This window comes from Homo sapiens, chromosome 20 (genome assembly GCF_000001405.40).
Source record: "Homo sapiens chromosome 20, GRCh38.p14 Primary Assembly".
Classification (NCBI taxonomy): Eukaryota; Metazoa; Chordata; class Mammalia; order Primates; family Hominidae; genus Homo; species Homo sapiens.
The window spans coordinates 44,522,588-44,543,442 of record NC_000020.11 but is presented as its reverse complement, the minus strand read 5'-3'; the positions used below and the strand labels follow the sequence as shown (position 1 = coordinate 44,543,442).

Below are 20,855 nucleotides of genomic sequence, written 5' to 3'. Positions count from 1 at the left end.
GTCTTCAAAATATTTCTGTGCCCTTTCTGTACGAGGCCTGATAAAGAACTTACTATAGAGTAAGTTTGCAAATATTGAGTTATTTTAGAAGTGCTTTTTGAACAGGTTTTTGCAAAAAAAAAAAAAGTTTACTGTATAAGTGTGCACGTATCAAAGGCTTTACAGTAATAAACATAACAGCTGACATTTACATGTTAAGTTCTATCTGCCAAGACTGTGCTGAGCCCTTTATTTCATGCAATCCTCACAAGAAACAAGGAACTCTCATAATATCCACTTTACAAGTGAGGAAGCTCTGAAGCTTAGAAAGGTTAAGTATATTGTGCAGTAAGTAGAAAGTGCCTGGGCCAAGATGTGAATTCATGTCCAAAGGACTCTAGGGCCTCATTCCTAACCACAACTTTGTACTGCTTCCTTATGAATACATAAAAGCACAGCGACCATTTCTCTGAGAGTGCACTTCTTCAAAATATTCTGTTCTCCTAACCTTCCTAAGTATACTATACTTATCACACCACAAGTCCCAATTTTTTGGTTTATAAAATATAGCTGCTGGGCACAGTGGCTCACGCCTGTAATCCCAGCACTTTGGGAGGGTGAGGTGGGCCTATCACTTGAGGTCAGGAGTTCGAGACCAGTCTGGCCAACGTGGTGAAACCCTGTCTCTACTAAAAATACAAAAATTAGCTGGGTATTGTGGCGCATGCCTGTAGTCCCAGATACTGGGGAGGCTGAGGCAGGAGAATTGCTTGAACCCAGGAGGCGGAGGCTGAGGCTGCAGTGAGCCAAGATTACGCCACTGCACTCCAGCCTGGGAGACAGAGCTAGACTCCATCTCGAAAAAAATATTATAAAAGAAATTAAAAAAAAATATGGCCACTATATTTAATATGTACCATATATAACATGCAGAGATCATCAAAAACCAATGAAAGTTAAGCCTTATGCACATAAGAAAACAATAGAATTATTTTATGCTTAACTGACACTGAAAATCAAGATTAAACCATCAGCTTTTTCTTTTTTTTTTTAAGTTTCATTCTGGTGATTAGCAGAAACACGGAGTAGGTAGGTTTGCAAAATCAGGACTGGGAGAAAGGAAGATAACTCACATTCATTAAGCCCCTTCGAGTGGCCAAGCTTTATAACAATTAACTCTCACATGACTTCATGAGACATTTTACAGATAAGGGAACCTAGACTCAGAGACCTTGCCCAAGGTTACCCTGATCTCCCTGAAACCCAAGTTCTTGTTCTTCTCATCATACAACTCTGCATTCCTATGAGTTCTAGCAATTTCTAAGGATTGGCTAACAGAGAACAATGACCCTGAGGCCACAGGAAAGCTCCGTAAGTTATTAGCCTCCCCGGAAATATCATTTTCATTTTCAGTTGCTTTCAATCTTGGTGTCTTTGGCTTTAATAAATTACAAATAAGAAAATAAGCTATACTTGGCCGGGAGTGGTGGCTTATGCCTATAATCCCAGCACTTTGGGAAGCCGAGGGGGGTGGATCATTTGAGGTCAAGAGTTCAAGACCAGCCTGACCAACATGGTGAAACTCTGTCTCTACTAAAAATGCAAAAATTAGCCGGGCATGGTGGCACACCTCTGTAGTCCCAGCTACTCGGGAGGCTGAGGCAGGAGAATCGCTTGAACCTGGGAGGCGAGGCTGCAGTGAGCCGTGATCCATTGCACTCCAGCCTGAGTAACAAGAGCAAAACCCCGTCTCAAAAAAAAAAAAAAAGAACCTAAAGAACCTACACTTAAAAATCTAATGCTTCAAATTTTACTTAAAAGCTACAAGAAAACAGGTATTATGTTTTATATAAGCCAATTAAAAATAATACATATTTATTTTCTTAGGTAGTAAAATATAATCAATAAGCAGCAGAATGTTAAGTTTTGGTACAAATATTCAAATAAAAACACAGTCTACCAGCCAGGCCAACATACAGAGATCCCGTATCCACAAAAAATTTTAAAATTAGCTGGATGTGGTGGCACACACCTGTAGTCCCAGCTACTCAAGAGGCTGAGGTGAGAGGATCACTTGAGTCCCAGAGTTTGAAGTGGCAATGAACTATGGTTGCACCACAGTAACTCCAGCCTGGGTGACAGAATGAGACCCAGTCTCAAAAACAAAACAAAACAAAAAAACCCATAGTCTAGTCTTAAAAGCACACAGCTGATGGAGAATCACTTAAAAAATAAATCAAAGTCTGTATTTCCTAGTCCTTCATTGCCGATGTCACTAAACATCCCACTGCTCATGTCCTAAGCCTATCCTGATTAGAAAGGGCAGGAATAAAATGAGGGCTACTCTTGCTACCATCATATGCATAGGAGGTCTGGCTCCCTCCGCTGAATTCCCATGCCTAGAAGCCAACCAAACGGCTGAGTCAGTTTCTCCACCCACTCATTCCTGCCTGGTCCTAACTTCCTTCCCCTCTCCAACCAACTAATACTGACGAGGCCCTACATTCCTTTAATGGTTCCAGTGCTGGTTAGAATCATTTACTCTACCTCAAGTATAACCAGAGAATCAAAAACATCAGTACGGCCAGGCGCAGTGGCTCATGCCTGTAATCCCAGTACTTGGGGAGGCCGAGGCAGGTGGATCACCTGAGGTCAAGAGTTCAAGATCAGCCTGGCCAACATGGTGAAATCCTGTCTCTACTAAAAATATTTTTAAAAATTAGCCGGGTATGGTGGTGGGCAGCTGTAATCCCAGCTACTCAGGAGGCCGAGGCAGGAGAATCTTTGAACCCAGGAGGTAGAGGTTGCAGTGAGTCGACATCATGCCATTGCATTCCAGCCTGGGAAACTGGAGTTTTGTTTGAGACTCCATCTCAAACAAAAACAAAAACAAAAAAAAACAAAACAAAAACATCAGTACATGTGAAAACCCCTGGAAGGTTTTTCACATAACTCATGTATCCAGTTCAATTTGACCAGGGGATTAATTTGGTCATTGGGATAACGTAATTAATTTTGGTTAATTGGTAGTCACCCAAGAAAGCCTTTAAAGGAAATTCTAAAATGAATCAATATATTGCATAATTTTATAAATGGATCAATATACTGTATTATTTTATAAGTAGCATGCTTGAACATAAATGAATCCTTGACTGGGAAACTTGCTATAGCACAGGTTGGTTGTTTAAATATTGGAAAAACTGGGCCAGGCACAGTGGCTCATGCCTGTAATCCCAGCACTTTGGGAGGCTGAGGCAGGTTGATCACTGGAGGTCAGGAGTTCAAGACCAGCCTGGCCAACATGGTGAAACCCCATCTCTACTAAAAATACGAAAATTAGCCAGGCGTGGTGGCATGCGCCTGTAGTCCCAGCTACTCAGGAGGCTGAGGCAGGAGAATAGCTTGAACCCTGGAGGTGGACGTTGCAGTGAGCCAAGATCACACCACTGCACTCCAGCAGCCTGGGCAACAGAACGAGACTCCATCTAAGAAAAGTAAATAAATAAATAAATAGATGTAATCAGTCAAATGCAGAATATGAGAAGTTGTATAGGGCAAATGATATGACTTTTTTAAACAAATAAATGGCAAAGGGGGAAAAAAGAAGAGGAGAAATGGCTATAGATTAAGAAGATTTTAAACAGGGGTATCCATTCTTTTGGCTTCCCTGGGCCACATTGGAAGAAGAAAAAAAATCACACACACAAAAAATCTCATAATGTTTTAAGAAAGTTTACAAATTTGAGGCTGGGCATGGTGGCTCATGCCTGTAATCCCAGCACTTTGGGAGGCCGAGGCAGGTGGATCACCTGAGGTCAGAAGTTCAAGACCAGCCTGGTCAACATGGTGAAACCCTGTTACTACTAAATATACAAAAATCAGCCGGGCGTGGTGGTGGGCGCCTGTAATCCCAGCTACTCAGGAGGCTGAGGCAGAAGAATCGCTTGAACATGGGAGGCAAGGTTGCAGTGAGCCGAGATCACGCCACTGCGCTCCAGCCTGGGCAACAAGAGCAAAACTTCGTTCAAAAAAAAAAAAAACAAAGAAAGAAAGTTTACAAATTTGTGTTGGGCCTCATTCAAAGCTGTCCTGGGCTGCATTTGGCCCACAGGCTGCGGATTGGACAAGCTTGATTTAAGAGATCATCAATCAGGTCTAATACAGGCACCTTGTTTGGATCCCAGTGAACACAGACCAACTGTAAAAAGACATTTATGAAAGTTGGGCAGGCCGGGCATGATGGCTCACGCCTGTAGTAATCCCAACACTTTGGGAGGCTGAGGTGGGCGGGCAGATCACCTGAGGTCAGGAGTTCGAGACCAGCCCGGCCAAAATAGTGAAACCCTGTCTCTACTAAAAATACAAAAATTAGTGGGGTATGGTGGTACGTGCCTGTAATCTCAGCTTCTCAGGTGGCTGAAGCAGGATAATTGCTTGAACCCAGGAGGCAGAGGTTGCAGTGAGTGAGTGGAGATCACGCCACTGCATTCCAGCCTGGGCAAAAGAGTGAGGCTCTGTGTCAAAAAGAAAGAAAAAAAAAAAGCTAGGTACACTGACACACATCTGTATTTCCAGATACTGATGAGGCTGAGATAGGAGGATCACTTGAACCTAGGAGTTCAAGTACAGCATGAGCAACATAGCGAGACTCCATCTTGAAAAAAACATTTTTTTAGAAAGACATTTATAAAATTGTTGAGGAAACTGAATACCAAATGGATATTATGTAATATTTAGGACTGACTACTGTTTATTTCCTTAGGTGTAATAATGAAACTGTGACTACAGGGGGGAAAGGAGGAGGAAAAAATCCTTCTCTCTTAGATGTGTATATTGAAGTACAGTATTCATGGATGAAATATGATGACTAGGATTTGCTTTATGATAATTTAAGGTGGGATGGAAGTAGGCAGTATAGATAAAATAAAAGTGACCATATGTTGGCAATTGCTAAAGCTCAGTATATTAGGTGTCTTTTATTATCTTTTCTACTTTTGTATGTTTAAACTTTTCCATAATAAAATGCTAAAATATAAGAAGAAAATAAAACCTGGATTCAAACTCCAGGACTTATTAGATATAGTATCTGAGAGGGATCTGTCACATCCTCTGATCTTCAATTTTCTCATTTGAAAATGGGAATGATAATCCCTACCCCACAGAATTGTTAGGAGGACTAAAATGATATCATGGATTTACATCTTTTGGAAATCCAGCTCTTCTAAACTGCAGAGCTATTTACAAATGTTAGCACAACAGTTAGCTCCCTCTGTCTGTAATGCTCTGGAAGTAGACAGAGACTACAGGTTTGTGGGAGTGGAGCTAAGTGACGGGCTGAATCCATCTGGACCCTCCAAATTTTCATTTTGTAAGAGTTCCTTAATATGACACTGTATACCTTATATTGTCCTTTTTCTCTCAAAAGGAGGCTGTCAGAATTCAGTAAAATGTGAAAAATTTTAAATTTTAAAATTTTAACAGAATTGTGACATACTCTACCTTGAATTATTTTTGTTTCATTTATTTTCCCAATTATTCATACTTCTCCTACTAAAGTCAGAAAGTATATTTACAGGATGGCTGGGTGCAGTGGCTCACACCTATAATCCCAGCACTTTGGGAGGCCAAGATGGGTGGATCATCTGAGTTCAGGAGTTTGAGACCAGCCTGGCCAATATGGTGAAACCCTGTCTCTACTAAAAATGAAAAAAAAAAAAAAAATAGCCGGTGTGGTGGTGTGTGCCTGTAATCCCAGCTACTTGGGACGCTGAGGCAGGAGAATCACTTGAACCTCAAAGGCGAAGGGTGCAGTGAGCCAAAATCGCACCACTGCACTCCAGCCTGAGGGACAGAGTGAGACTCTGTCTCAAAAAAAAAAAAAAGTAAGTATATTTACAGGAGACTGTGTTATTGAGATAAAACTGAACACAGGCAGGGCACGGTGGCTCACGCCTGTAATCCCAGCACTTTGGGAGGCCGAGGCAGGCAGATCACTTGAGGTCAGGAGTCAAGACCAGCCTGGCCAACATGGTGAAACCCCATTTCTATAAAAATACAAAAATGCCAGGAGCAGTGGCTCACACCTGTAATCACAGCACTTTGGGAGGCCAAGGCGAGTGGATCACCTGAGGTTGGGAGTTCAAGACCAGCCTGACCAACATGGAGAATGCTGTCTCTACTAAAAATACAAAATTAGCCGGGCGTGGTGGCGCGTGCCTGTAATCCCAGCTACTCAGGAGGCTGAGGCATGAGAATCGCTTGAACCCAGGAGGTGGCAGTTGCGGTGAGCCAAGATCGTACCATTGTACTCCAGCCTGGGCGATAAGAGTGAAACTCCATCTCAAAAAAAATAATAATAATACAAAAATTAGCCGGGCATAATGGCAAGTGCTTGTAATCCCAGCTACTTGGGAGGCTGAGGCAGGAGAATTGCTTGAACCTGGGAGGCGGAGGCTGCAGTGAACTGAGATGGTGCCATTGCACTCCAGCCTGCACAACAGAGCGAGACTCCGTCTCAAAAAACACACACAAAAAAACAAAAAACAAAAAAACACACACTAAAACATTGTTTAAAATATTCCAGGTGCTTTTAGAATAATAGATATGTGTACTTCAGTACTAAAGGTTCATCTCAAATAAAAGGAAATTAACAGAAGTTCAAGTATAAGCAACACAAAGGGATACCTGGCACTATCTGCCTTCAGTTTAAAGAATGGTTGGAAAGAGCCAGTGTCATCTCTCTATGTGCAAATCAGATCAAGTCATTTCACTTCCTTTCAATGGTTTCTCTCCACCTTCTAGAAGTCCAAACTGCTAAACAAAGGCTTGGGTGGCTCTCCAGCCTTATTTCCTCCCTCCTCCCCTAGTCAAAGCCCCACCAGGACTGATGCCCCTTCCCACCAGAGGCCAGGAAAGCTTCATCTTCCACTCCTCTCTCCCTTACCTCTTGTTGGTCAAGTCCTGTTGATTCTCCTTCTGAAATGTCTCTCAAATCTGCCCTCTCCTTTCCCTTTCCGCTGCCACTGCCCTTTTTTACCCTTATTTCCCCAGCCTCCTAAAGAAGATACTTCCTCATTTTTTTTCTGATTATGAAGGCAATTCATGCTCATAAAAAAGGAAAATTAGGGCAATGAGGAACAGAATAAAAGTTTCCCCATGATCTCATAAACAGCTTACCTTTCTAGTACACTTATGTTTCACTGCAGTATTATTCACAATAGCCAAAAGATGGAAGCAACTCAAAGTGACCATCGATGAATGGATAAACAAAGTGCGGTATAAACATGCAATGGAATATTATTCAGCCTTACAAAAAGAATGAAATTCTGACACATGCTACACAACAAGGATGAACCTTGAGGACACTATGCTAGTGAAATAAGCCCGTCACAGAAAGACAAATAATGCAAGATTCCACTAACACGATGTATCCAGAGTAACCAAACACATAGAAAACAAAAGTAGAATGGGTGCTGCCAAGGGCTGGTGGGGAGGCGGAAATGGGGAGCTAAACCTATTAAAGGTATAGTTTGGCTTTTGCACTTTTGCAAGATGAAAAAGTCATGCAGATTGGTTGCACAGCATGAATACACTTAATACTACAAAACTGTAAACTTAAAAATCGTTAAGATGGTAAATTTTATCACAATTAAAGATTTAACATTTTTAAAAAGAACTAGTATTTCCAGACATTTTTATTATAAACATGTATACATTTAAGAAAACAGTAACATACTGTACCGTAATCTGCTTTTTACACCTAACCACATAATGTAAACATCTTTCTAATATATATAGCTCCCACCTAACTGTCCTTTTTTTTGAGATGGAGTTTTGCTCTTGTCACCCAGGCTGGAGTGCAATGGTACAATCTCAGCTCACTGCAACCTCTGCCTCCCAGGTTGAAGAGAATCTCCTGCCTCAGTTTCCCAAGTAGCTGGGACTACAGGCGTGCACCACTACACCCAGCTAATTTTTGTATTTTTAGCAGAGATGGGGTTTCACCATGTTGACCAGGCTAGTCTCAAACTCCTCACCTCAGATAATCTGCCCGCCTTGGCCTCCCAAAGTGCTGGGATTACAGGCGTAAGCCACCGTGCCAGGCCAATTTTTCAATTTTATAAAAACATGATAGTCAATATCTCATGATGTCTTATGATAGACACCTGTTTTTTTTTTAACCTACCCCTTCTCCAGTATCAATACTCTGATGTTCCCATGGGAAAACTACTTTACCTTACTCATCCTGTCATCCCATCCCCATGCCCAGCCAACTCTTACTCTGTGTGGCTAAGCTGGGTACATGTATTTTTAAGTTTATTTCTAAGTATTTATTTTTCATGTTGCTATTGTCAGTTCTCCTACAATTACATTTTCTATTTTTGTTTGCATAAAGCTATTGCTTTTTGTCTATCTTATAACTGCTGTTCACTTAGCCTTATTATATCTAAGTATTTTTAGTTTAATTCTCTTGAATTTTCTCAGCAGACAATCATATCACAGGTAGAGATTTATATCATCCAGGTAGTGGTTAAGAGTAAAAGCTCTGGGTTCAGGTAAACCTAGATTCAAATACTGTGTGACCCTGAGTGAGCATGTTACCTCAGTTTCTTTATCCATAAATTTGCAATTATTAGAGGGCCTATCTCACAGGGTTGTTGTAAACATCACATTATTCATTAAGAACGGTGCATGAGGCCGGGCGCAGTGGCTCATGCCTGTAATCCTAGCATCTTGGGAGGCCGATGCGGGTGGATCACTTGAGGTCTGGAGTTCGAGACCAGCCTGGTCAACATGGCAAAACCTCATCTCTACTAAAAATACAAAAATTAGCTGAGTGTGGTGGCTCGCACCTGTATTCCCAGCTACTTGGGGGGCTGAGGCAGGTGGATCGCTTGAGCACAGGAGGCAGAGGCTGCAGTGAGCCAAGATTGCACCACTACACTCCAGCATGGGCGACAGAGTGATACCCTGTCCCAAAAAAAAAAAAAAGAATGGTGCATGAAAAGTACTTAACACAATACTAGTTCAATAAATGCCTGCTATCTGCCGACAATGAAAATTGTGACTTTCCTTCCACACTTATACCTTTATTTATTTTTGTTGCATTACACTGGTGCACTCCTTTCAGGAATAACCTGGCTTCCCACGTCTCCAAAAAGTAACAGGCATCAGACTCCTATTGAAGGATCTGTACTGTGGAGCTCCTCCACTCCCACCTTCTCAGGAAAGTTATACTATCAATTCTCCCTTTCATATCCTGTGTCTTCTCAGCCTTTCTCTCTCTCCACTGGCTCTTTGCCAACAGCATTTAATCTCTCTCATGCTCAAAAAAACTTCACCTATTCCCCAATCGCTCCTCAGCCTTCTCTCTACCTCCCTTCGCAGCCAAACTTCTCTGAGCTGCCTACACTTTGTCTTTCTCACATCCCACTCTTAACTCATCCCACTGATATATTATATTGAACCTTTGAAAGCTGCTGATATTATAGATTCCGCCCCAACCATTTCACCAAATCTGCTCAATGAGGTCCCAACCGACCTCCATATTTATTTACCCAAAAGGACACATTTTAATTTTTAACTTGTATTACTCGACATCTCAGCAACATCTACAAAGGCCAACCAACCTCTCCCTTTGGCCTTCATTACTATACTTTGCTGGTTTCTCTCCTGTTCCTGTTTCTCTAGCCATTTCTTTTAGTGTAGACTAAGTGCATGGCTCATTCTTCCAAGAGTATGCAATGCAGTAGCCCTGAATAATCTCAGCCTTTTTTTTTTTGTCAACCTCTCTGGATGGATCTCTTTCAATATTGATCTTTAAGTTCCAGTTGTAGTGGACTGCTTTTGGCTCCATGAATGTACTTTTGAAAATGTTTGGAACATCCCCACGATAGCTAACTCAGACTACACCCTCCATACATTTTATCAAAACTCTACCTGAATCTCCAAACTATGCTAGATTGATCTTAACATGCGCCCCCTTTCACAATTCTCATCACAATTATAATCACTTGTTTGATGAATATTTTCTCCACCAATCTGTGATCTCCTTGAGGGCAGGGACCTGCTTCCTTACTACCTACACAGTGCCTTGCACATAGAAGAAGATGCTCATTAAATATTTTTTGAATTAGCCAGGTGCAGTGGTGTGCACCTGCAGTCCCAGCTGCTTGGGAGGCTGAGACAGGAGGATCACTTGAGCCCAGGAATCTGAGACCAGCCTGGGCAACATAGTGAGACCTCATCTCAACAATAAATACATACACGCACACACTGTCACACACACACATATATATGAATCACCACAAATGAATGCCTGCAAAGTGAAAAACAGATGGGAGGAATGATAAGACCAAGAGAGAAACACAAAAAACTGATCTTTCTGAAACTATACCTCTGATCAAAGACACACACCTCCGGCTTAAAACCCTTTGATGGCTTCCCACTGCCCCCAACACAAAGCCCAAACTCCTCCACACTTACAGTCTTTCAGGAGGAGCACCTGCTTGTCTCTCAAACACCATCTAGCCAGACCCCCTCCAACTCTCATAATCTGCTCTCCAGCTAGCCTGAAATCCTTGCAGATTCCCAAGAAGTCTGCACTCTCTCCCCAAGGCTTTTCTCTACCTACTTTCTCTACCTGCTTTATCTACCCACAGCAAGGTACACTCCACCAGCCTCATCTTCTGGCCAACATAAAGACAGCCTTCATGTCTCATTTTGGAAGTCACCTTCTTTTGGCATCTCTCCCTGATCATCCACACTAACCTCACCTCCAGAAATCCAGGTTAACTGTTTTCTCTGTGCATTCACAGCCCCCCTGTATGTCCAAAATCATAACCGGAATCACTGTGAATTCTTGTTTACGAGTCTGTCTCCTCCGGAAAACTGTGGAGTTCCCTCAGGACACGATGTCTCTCGTTCACTTTTTTACCCTGGCTATCAGCCCGGGCCGTGGCTCACAATAAATGCTCAGTGATGGTCCTCCTTGTAGTAGTAGTAATAATAAAAGCTCCCATGTATTGAGGGCTTACCTCCACGAATTTTAAATATAAATTTACCTTGTAATAACGTCATCAGACAGGTGCTACCATGATTCCCATTTTGCAGACGATAAAACTGACGCACAAAGAAGTCAATCCTCTCTGGCCCCAGAAGAGTCACACACACAAATAAATTTTCTGCACAGTTTTGAGTTATTTTCTGGCCCCCAAACAAGAAGGGATTTTTTTTTTAAGAAACTTTCGAATGAGGTCGACCAATGGCTACAAATATAATAAACAGCCGAAAACGGACTCTCCCTGAACGCGGGGCGGGGTCAAAGGGCGTCGGGGGCGCCGTCCCCGGCGCGGCTGAGGGACAAAGATCGGGCCGCAGCCTCCCTCCCCGGGATCCCCGGCGGCTCAGCCCCTCGCCCCCTGCGACGTGTCGACGCCAGGCCCGGAGCGTTGGGGCCGCAACCGGCCGCCCGGCTCCTGCTCACCTGCGGTCTCGCCGCCTCTCCGTGCCTGGGCCGCCGGTCCGCAGCGCCTCCCCGGGGCAGCCTAGCGCCCGCAGCCCGCAACCCGCAGCGGAGCCCGTTGCCTTGGCGACCTGGGCTGCCGAACTCCCGCGGCACTCGCGCTACGGCGGCTCGGATGGGACCAGGACGGTTCGCGTCCCCTTCCGCAGCCGCGGAGGGGGCAGAGGAGGGACGAAGTGGGAGTCGAGGGCTGAGCTGCGAAGGAGGGATCCGGGTTGGAACTTGGCCCGGGGAAGATACGGAAAGGGGGACAGTGAGGCCAAGGGGAGGTCTTGGGCCGCGGGTGCTGCTTGTGCCTCAGTTTATCTCTCTGTAACCTCAAATGGGGACCGTGCGAGGAGGAGACAGGGCCTCAGGTGGTGGCTTGGTAGACTGGGTTTTTGTTATTTTGTTTTTGTTTTTGTTTTGAGACAGAATCTCACTCTGTCGCCCAGGCTGGAGTGCAGTGGCGCAATCTCGGTTCACTGCAACCTCTGCCCCCTGGGTTTGAGCGATTCTCATGCCTCAGCCTCCCGAGTAGCTGGGATTACCGGAAGGTGCCACCACGCCTGGCTAATTTTTGTATTTTTAGTAGAGACGAGGTTTCGCCATGTTGACCAGGCTGGTCTCGAACTCCGACCTCAGCTGATCCATCCGCCTGGGCCTACCAGCATGGTGGGATTACAGGCGTGAGCCACCACTCCCTGCCAAGACTGGGAATATTTAAAGACAAGAAAACTGATGTGGGAAGGGTGGCAGATTCCTCTCTTTTATAGTCTCTGAAGGGGTGGTGTGGCAAAGAGTGAATAAATTGGTTTCTTTGATGGAGAATTAGATCACCAGATTTAATTTCAATATGAGGAATAATTTATTTTTCCTTGTGTCTAGCAACTACACTTCTTGGAATAACTCTGCAGATATGCTGAAACCTGAGCACAAAGGATATATTCATTAATTCATTTTTGTAAAAGCAAAAGGGTTGCGACCAGTCTAAATATCTATCAGGGGCTGGGCGCAATGGCTCACACCTGTCATCCTGAAACCACCTTTGCAAAAAATCATAACTGAGATATCAGACCTAACTGACCCCATCTTGCTTCTAACCTCTAAAGTGTCCTGTTCATTCCTGGGTATAGGCTAAACCAGTTTTTTTTGTTTTTTTGTTTTTTGTTTTTTTTTTTGAGACGGAGTTTCGCTCTTGTTGCCCAGGCTGGAGTGCAATGGCGCCAACTTGGCTCACCACAATGTCCGCCTCCTGAGTTCAAGTGATTCTCCTGCCTCAGCCTCCTGAGTAGCTGGGATTACAGGCATGCACCACCACGCCCAGCTAATTTTTTGTATTTTTAGTAGAGACAGGGTTTCTCCATGTTGGTCAGGTGATCCTCCCGCCTCGGCCTCCCAAAGTGCTGGGATTGTAGGTGTGAGCCACCATGCCAAGCCAGGCCAAACTAGCCTTGGGAAGGAATTTAGTGTATCATTTAAACAATAGCCCTTTCCAGAAAGCTAAACTGTTCTTGTAAAACAAATGAAAGGCCACAGGCCACCAGCCACCAAGCCAAGATGAGAAGGGCTGGAGTTCTAAATAGTACCCACCATTATTCTTATTCTAGAGGTCATAAGATTTTTTTGTTTTGTTTTTTTGAGACAGAGTCTTGCTCTGTCACCCAGGCTGGAGTGCAGTGGCACAATCTTGGCTTATTGCAACCTCTGCCTCACAGGTTCAAGCAATTATCATGCCTCAGCCTCCACAGTAGCTGGGATTACAGGGACCTGCCACCACGCCAGCTAATTTTTGTATTTTTAGTAGAGACGGGGTTTTGCCATGTTGGCCAGGCTGGTCTTGAACTCCTGACCTCAAGTGATCTGCCTGCCTCAGCTTCCCAAAGTGCTGGGATCACAGACGTAAGCCACTGTGCCTGGCCCCCAATTACTCTTGAGGTAAAATCGCTATTGTGAACCTAAGATCAGCCTTTTGAGATGTCTTTTCAGGTTTTTGCATTTCTAACAACCAGATGGCCCCACTGGACCTGCCAACCAGTTCTGTGGCCCTCATCCAGGAACTGACTCAGCAGAAGAAAACAGCTTTGACTCTCTGCAATTTCTGGTTTTTTTGTTTGTTTGTTTTGTTTTTTTGAGAAGGAATCTCGCTCTGTCACCCAGGCTGGAGTGCAGTGGCGCGATCTTGGCTCACTGCAAGCTCCACCTCCTGGGGTCACGCCATTCTCTTGCCTCAGCCTCCCGAGTAGCTGGGACTACAGGCACCCGCCACCACGCCCAGCTAGTTTTTTTGTATTTTTAGTAGAGATGAGGTTTCACCGTGTTAGCCAGGATGGTCTCCATCTCCTGACCTCGTGATCCACCCGCCTCGGCCTCCCAAAGTGCTGGGATTACAGGCATGAGCCACCGCGCCCAGCGACTCTCTGCAATTTCATCCCCCAGCCAAGCAATCAGCACTCCCAATTCATTGGCCCCCTACCCACCAAATTATCCTTAAAAACTCTGATCCTTGAGTTTTCGGGAGGATGATTTGAGTAATAACAAAACTCTGGGCTCCCGCACAGCAGGCTTTGTGTGAATTACTTTCTCTGTCGCAATTCCCCCTTCTTGATTAATCAGCTCTGTCTAGGCAGCGTGCAAGGTGAACCCCTTGGGCAGTCCAGCACTTTGGTAGGCTGAGGCAGGCAGATTGCTTGAGCCCAGGAGTTCAAGACCAGCCTGGGCAACATAGTGAGACCTCACTTCTACAAAAAATTAAAAAATTAGCCAGGTGTGGTGGTGTGCACCTGTATGTAGTCCCAGCTACTCAGGAGGCTGAGGTGGGAGGATCCCTTGAGCCCGACAGGCGGAGGTTGAAGTCAGCAGAGACTGTGCCATTGCACTCCAGCCTGAGTGACAGAGGGACACCCTGTCTCAAAAAAAAAAAAAAAAGCCAGCCACGGTGGCTCACGCCTGTAATCCCAGCACTTTGGGAGGCCGAGGCAGGCGGATCATGAGGTCAGGAGACCAAGACCGTCCTGGCCAACGTGGTGAAACACCATCTCTACTAAAAATACAAAAATTAGCCAGACGTGGCAGCGCGCTCCTGTAGTCCCAGCTACTTGGGAGGCTGAGGCAGGAGAATTGCTTAAACCCGAGAGGCAGAGGCTGCAGTGAGCGGAGATCACGCCCCTGCACCCCAGCCTGGACGACAGAGCGAGACTCTGTCTCAAACGAAAAAAAAAGTCTATCCTTAGGGAACTGAGGAAATAAATTATGATACATCCATAAAATAAAATAGATTACCGTAGCAAGAATTAAGAGGGACCAAGGTAGATATAGACGTAGATACAGTTTAGATACAGAGCTGTCTTCAAGCTGTGTAACCAGCCAGGGGGTTTACCTCGCCTGCTACCTAGACAGAGCTGACTTATCAAGACAGGGGAGTTGCAACAGAGAAAGAGTAATTCACACAGAGCCGGCTGTGTGGGAGACCGGAGCTTTATTATTGCTCAAATCAGCCTCCCTGAGCATTTGGGGATCAGAGTTTTTTGTTTGTTTGTTTGTTTGTTTTGAGACGGAGTCTGTTGCCCAGGCTGGAGTGCAATGGCACAATCTCCACTCCCTGCAGCCTCTGCCTCCCCAGTTCAAGTGATTCTCCTGCCTCAGTCTCCAGAGTAGCTGGGACTACAAGGCATGCACCACCATGCCTGGCTAATTTTTTGTATTTTTTTTAGTACAGACGGGGGTTTCACCATATTGGCCAGGCTGGACTAGAACTCCTGGCCTCAAGTGATCCACCCGCCTCAGCCTCCCAAGGTACCAGGATTACAGGCATGAGCCACCGCTCCAGGCTGGGGATCAGAGTTTTTAAGGTTAACTTGGTGGGTGGGGGGAAGCCAGTGAGCAAGGAGTGCTGATTGGTCAGGTAGGAGATGAAATCATGGGAAGCTGAAGCTGTCCTCTTGCACTGAGTTCCTGGGTGCGGGCCACAAGATCAGATGAGCCACTTTATCAATCTGTGTGGTGCCAGCTGATCCATCAAGTTCAGGGTCTGGAAAATATCTCAAGCGCTGATCTTAGCAGAAGTTCAGGGAGGGTCAGAATCTTGTAGCCTCCAGCTGCATGACTCCTAAGCCATAATTTCTAATCTTGTGGCTAATTTGTTAGTCCTACAAAGGCAGTCTAGTACCCAGGCAAGAGGAAGGTTTGTTTTGGGAAGGGGCTGTTATCATCTTTGTTTTAAACTATAAACTAAGTTCCTCCCAAAGTTAGTTCAGCCTACACCCAGGAAGGAACAAGGACAGGTTAAAGGTTAGAACGAAGATGAAGTTAGATCTTTTTCACTGTCTCCGTCATAATTTTGCAAAGGCAGTTTCAGCTATGTATACGGCAACAGTCTCCGAACTAGTCCCGCCATTGCTTCTACTATAACCCTCAACCCTAACCCATCCCTGCTCCAGTCTTTATTCCAACCAGCAGCCAGAATGATCCTTTTGAAAGGTAAACACGGCCGGGCGCAGTGGCTTATGCCTGTAATCCCAACACTTTGGGAGGCCAAGGCACGTGGATCACGAGGTCAAGAGTACAAGACCATCCTGGCCAACATAGTGAAACCATGTCTCCACTAAAAATACAAAAATTAGCTGGGCGTGGTGGCGTGCGCCTGTAGTCCAGCTACTCGGGAGGCTGAGGCAGGAGAATTGCTTGAACCTGGGAGGCCGAGGTTGCAGTGAGCCGAGATCACGCCACTGCACTCCAGCCTGGTGACAGAGTGAGACTCCGTCTCAAAACAATAAATAAAATAAAATGTAAACATGATTGGCGCGGTGGCTGAAGGCTTTTTTTTGAAACTCCAGCTTAAAAAAAAAAAAGTAAGCATGACCATGTCCCTCACCTGCTCAAAAGCTTTCAACTGTTTCCCCATTACATTTAGAATAAGATGTAGAGTTGTTGTCACCATCAACAAGGCTGGAAGTGAACTGCCCCCTGAATACTTGTCCAGCCTCATCTCTCACCATTTTCCCTCTCAGCTGTCACCATTGGAGGGTGTCCAGGTTCTTGGCATCTTGAACAAAGAATTGGACACAACACACAAAGCAAGAAGGAATGAAGGAATTTATTGAAAATGAAAGTATGGGCTGGGCGCGGTGGTTCACGCCTGTAATCCCAGCACTTTGGGAGGCCGAGGCGCGCGGATCACGAGGTCAGGAGTTCGAGACCAGCCTGGCCAACATGGTGAAACCCCGTCTCCACTAAAAATACAAAAAGTGGCTGGGCATGGTGGTGCACACCTGTAATCCTAGCTACTCAGGAGGCTGAGGCAGGAGAATTGCTTGAACCTGGGAGGTGGAGGTTGCAGTGAGCCGAGTTTGAGCCAGTGTACTCCAGCCCGGGCCACAGAGCAAGACTCCATCTCACCAATTCACTCCGCAGTGTGGGAGGGGGCCCAAGCATAGGAGCTCAAGGGCCCCTGTTACAGAATTTTTGGGAGTTTAAATACCCTCTACTTGGGACACGCCCTATGTAAATGAAAAGGATGAAGTAAAGTTACAAAGTCATTTACTTGGCCTACACCCTATGGAGAGGATATTTCCTGTCATAGCTGAAGTGTGAATCAGCCTTTTGTTCCCCGACTCCAGACTCTGTTTTCCTGCCTTAAAGCATGCTTTCATCTCAGGGCATTTTCTCCTGCTCTTCCTCCAGGTATCTTTATGGCTTGCTTCCTCGGTTCCCTCATGTCTGTGCTCCAGTGTCAAGCCCTCTAAAAGACCTGCCCAGACTACTCTTGAAAATAGTAGGGCCGGGCGCAGTGGCTCGTTCCTGTAATCCCAGCACTTTGGGAGGCCTAGGTGCGCGGATCACTTGAGGTCAGGTGTTCAAGACCAGCCTGGCTAACATGGCGAAACCCTGTCTCTACTAAAAATACAAAAATTGGCCAGGCATGGTGGTATGTGCCTGTAATTCCAGCTACTGGGGAGGCTGAAGCATGAGTATTGCTTCAACCCAAGAGGCTGAGGTTGCAGCGAGGTGAGATCATGCCACTGCACTCCAGCCTGGGTGACAGAGTGAGACCCTGTCTCAAAAAAAAAAAAATAAATAAATAAAAGAAAAGAAAATAATGGACCCCCACCAACTCTGTATTCTCCTTTCTCTTTTTTCACAGCTCTTGTCAGTGTCTGAGTGTTATATTATATACGTGTGTGTTTGCTGCTTGTCTTTTTTCCCTACAGCATAAGGTCTTTTAAGGGTGGGCACTTTGTTTTGTTCTCTACTATTTTCTTATCACTGGCAACAGTGCCTGACACATAGTAATAGCATGGTAAATATTTATCGAATGAACTAATAAGTTAAGTGAAAAAAAAGCGGCGGGTGGATCACCTGAGGTCAGGAGTTCAAGACGAGCCTGGCCAACATGGTGAAACCCTGTCTCTACTATAAATACAAAAAAAAATTAGCCAGGCATGGTGGTGGGCACCTGTAATCCTAGCTACTCAGGAGGCTGAGGCAGGAGAATCGCTTGAACTCAGGAGGCGGACGTTGCAGTGAGCCAAGATTGTGCCACTGCACTCCAGCCTGGGCGACAGAGCGAGACTCTGTCTCAAAAAAAAAAAAAAAAAAAAAAGTGCCATAATGCTGGCATATGCATATTCCTGTAGGAACTCTGAAAGGAGATCTGGGAGATGGGGGTGGGGGAAGGGTGGGAAGGACACTTCATTTTCACCGTGTGCTCCTTTATGCAGTATGTTATAACCAAGTACATGTGTTATCTTTTCAACAACATATGGGGGGAAATAACCTAGGTTTTTTTACTCGCGTCCGTGTGAAGAGACCACCAAACAGGCTTTGTGTGAGCAACAGGGCTGTTTATTTCACCTGGGTGCAGGCGGGCTGAGTCCGAAAAGAGAGTCAGCGAAGGGAGATAGGGGTGGGGCCGTTTTATAGGATTTGGGTAGGTAAAGGAAAGTTACAGTCAAAGAGGGTTGTTCTCTGATGGTCAGGGGCGGGGGTCACAAGGTGCTCAGTGGGGGAGCTTTTGAGCCAGGATGAGCCAGGAGAAGGAATTTCACAAGGTAATGTCATCAGTTAAGGCAGGAACAGGGCATTTTCACTTCTTTCGTGGTGGAATGTCATCAGTTAAGGCAGGAACAGGCCATCTGGATGTGTATGTGAAGGTCACGGGGTTATGATGGCTTAGCTTGGGCTCAGAGGCCTGACAGGTTTGACAATGGATGTGTAAAGATGGGAGGAGCTGCCTTGGGTGGCAGTGAGCCCCCTACCCTAGAAGAGATGTTGCTAAGGGGTTTCTGCCTGAGGCGGGAAATTGGAGTAGATGATCACAAAGATCTGCTGTCCTCGCTTTGGCCAAGTAGAAGTGACACACTCAACCAGTTAGGGCCAGAAACACTAAGAGATGGGGGGATCCTACATGTGGGAGGACAAATGCTTACAGGTAAGAAAATGAAAAACTGTTCAGCTGACAGCTAGACCTAATGTTTCTAACTGAACAAAAACAGTGATCACAGAATATAAACAAAGATCAGACAAGACCACCATGTAGTTGGATCAAGATACAGACAAAGCCACTCTGGTACCGCAGATAGGACTCAACATCTTCCAATTCTGACTAATAAATGAGTGGATTTTGCTTCTTTTTTTGTAACCGAGCGAATTATAGAGAAACGCCACACTCTGAGACGAATTCAGGAGTCCTTTATTAGCCGGCAACTGAGAGATGGCTAGTGCTTAAAATTCTCTCGGCCCCGAAGAAGGGGCTAGATTTTCTTTTATACTTTGGTTTAGAAAGGGGAGGGGGAGCCTAGCTGAGGCAATCTTACAGAAGTAAAACAGGCAAAAAAGTTAAAAAGACAAATGGTTACAGGAAAACAAATAGTTCCAGGTGCAGGGGCTTTAAATCCATCACAAGGTGATAGATGTGGGGGCTTTGGGTACCATCAACCGGACAAAAATGCAGGGGCTTAGGGTACTATCAACCGGGTGAATTCCTGGAAACTGCAGCTATCGCTTGCCACAGTATCTTATCAGTTAATTGCATTCTTTGATGTGCTGGGAGTCAGCTTGCACAAGTTAAATCCTTGAGGAAGTGGGATGGGTAAGGAGCGGCAAGTGAAGGAGCCAAAATGGAGTTTGTCTGTCTCCCTCAGCTAAGAGAGAGTCAATTCAGGTTAAGACAAGGTAGGGTATCACACTTTTCCAAGGACTAATCTAGCCTTGTTTTAATCCTTCTTCCTTCTGGATAAAAATTTGTAAGATACCTAATCACTGAATTGCCTCTACTCCTTGACTGTGTCCAATCCAAAACTGTTCTCCTCCTCCTTAAACTCTCCTTAGATTTAGTTACCCAGCATAAACCCAAATCCTAAAATAAGTTCTCCCCAGTCACCTCTTACCAAGACACCTTATATTTTCTCTGATATGTGTTCTCCCTTTCTGAACAAGCTAAATAAACCTAATTCTTTTTGACTACAGGTATGTTTCTGGTAGAATTCGATCTGTAAAATTTATCACAGTCAGCTCTCTTAAGTCCAGACCAGCAATACTCAGACAGGAAGAAGCAAGAATGTTAAGGACTACCTGGAAAGTTCAGTGGTCCTGAAGCAACTTGACTTGAGCTGGTATTTGTGTATGTGTGGTGAGGAGAGGGATCTGGGAAAAGAGAGGTAGGAATTATTAAATGTGAGTAGTTCTCTTTCTTCTTTCATCAGCCCTTTTCATGGCCTTGGGCAAACTTTGAGCCTCATTCCATTTCTGTAAAAGATGAATTTGGAATACATTTTCAAGGAATCCAGGAAATAACATCCCCAAATATGCCACACTGGTATGATGATTGCTTGGGGAACAGCACATGGAGAGAGGGGCTTTTCATGAATTTCCCTTATCAGACTAAAGGCTGACAATCCAGAAGGAATTCAATTATGAATCCCCTTCCAGAGAGTTTTATCTATCAGGGAAGATTAACACACCACAGGAGAAGATATTGAAGTGTGACACCTTGTTGTCCGGACATCATCATTGTTTGCCACATTCCACCTAAACTATTATATGTGTAAGTAAAAAATGTTTTCATTTTCTTCTTTAAGTGAACTCTCAAATTTGACATGTATTTTGAAAGGAATATTTACATCACTGCTTAAATGGGAAATCAGCATTGCTCGGAAGAAATGAAAAGGTTATTGCTAACACACACCTCAAAACAAAACAATATTTTAAAACTGCAGGCATGGTTGCCTGTTTGAGAGATCTGGAAAATGAAGGCTTTACTCTGTTAGAAAGGGAGATAAATACTAGAAAAATGTTAAATACCATACTGGCCTCAAACAACTAGCCTGTTGGTTTGAAATGGGACGTTCTCACTCTGCTGTTTAATATCGCTTAA

General features: G+C 44.8%; 1 protein-coding gene across 7 annotated transcripts in view, besides 5 other annotated features; it reads right to left on the bottom strand.

Annotated features, from left to right (window-relative positions):
- Positions 1-11,568, bottom strand: part of PKIG (cAMP-dependent protein kinase inhibitor gamma) — an 87,163-nt gene extending 75,595 nt beyond the window's left edge. For 5 of the 7 annotated variants that reach the window (NM_181805.3, NM_001281444.2, NM_181804.3 and 2 more), the window contains exon 1: positions 11,465-11,568. The gene's annotated coding sequence lies outside the window, so the exon portion shown is untranslated. Of the gene's footprint in view, positions 1-11,042; positions 11,280-11,464 lie in introns of those variants that run through there. The other 2 variants (XM_047439850.1, XM_017027615.2) reach the window with 1 other exon arrangement.
- Positions 11,241-11,580: a silencer, noted in NCBI's record as "silent region_12942". NCBI's record gives its function as "represses an Ori minimal core promoter by ATAC-STARR-seq in GM12878 lymphoblastoid cells {active_cell/tissue: GM12878}" and the evidence as "EXISTENCE:reporter gene assay evidence [ECO:0000049][PMID:35858748]".
- Positions 11,241-11,979: a biological region, named in NCBI's record as "H3K4me1 hESC enhancer GRCh37_chr20:43160105-43160605".
- Positions 11,479-11,979: an enhancer, noted in NCBI's record as "H3K4me1 hESC enhancer chr20:43160105-43160605 (GRCh37/hg19 assembly coordinates)". NCBI's record gives its function as "activates a minimal SCP1, AML or CMV promoter by ChIP-STARR-seq in naive H9 embryonic stem cells {active_cell/tissue: H9 hESC(naive)}" and the evidence as "EXISTENCE:reporter gene assay evidence [ECO:0000049][PMID:30033119]".
- Positions 16,520-17,395: an enhancer, noted in NCBI's record as "NANOG-H3K27ac-H3K4me1 hESC enhancer chr20:43154689-43155564 (GRCh37/hg19 assembly coordinates)". NCBI's record gives its function as "activates a minimal SCP1, AML or CMV promoter by ChIP-STARR-seq in primed H9 embryonic stem cells {active_cell/tissue: H9 hESC(primed)}" and the evidence as "EXISTENCE:reporter gene assay evidence [ECO:0000049][PMID:30033119]".
- Positions 18,272-19,148: an enhancer, noted in NCBI's record as "NANOG-H3K27ac hESC enhancer chr20:43152936-43153812 (GRCh37/hg19 assembly coordinates)". NCBI's record gives its function as "activates a minimal SCP1, AML or CMV promoter by ChIP-STARR-seq in naive H9 embryonic stem cells {active_cell/tissue: H9 hESC(naive)}" and the evidence as "EXISTENCE:reporter gene assay evidence [ECO:0000049][PMID:30033119]".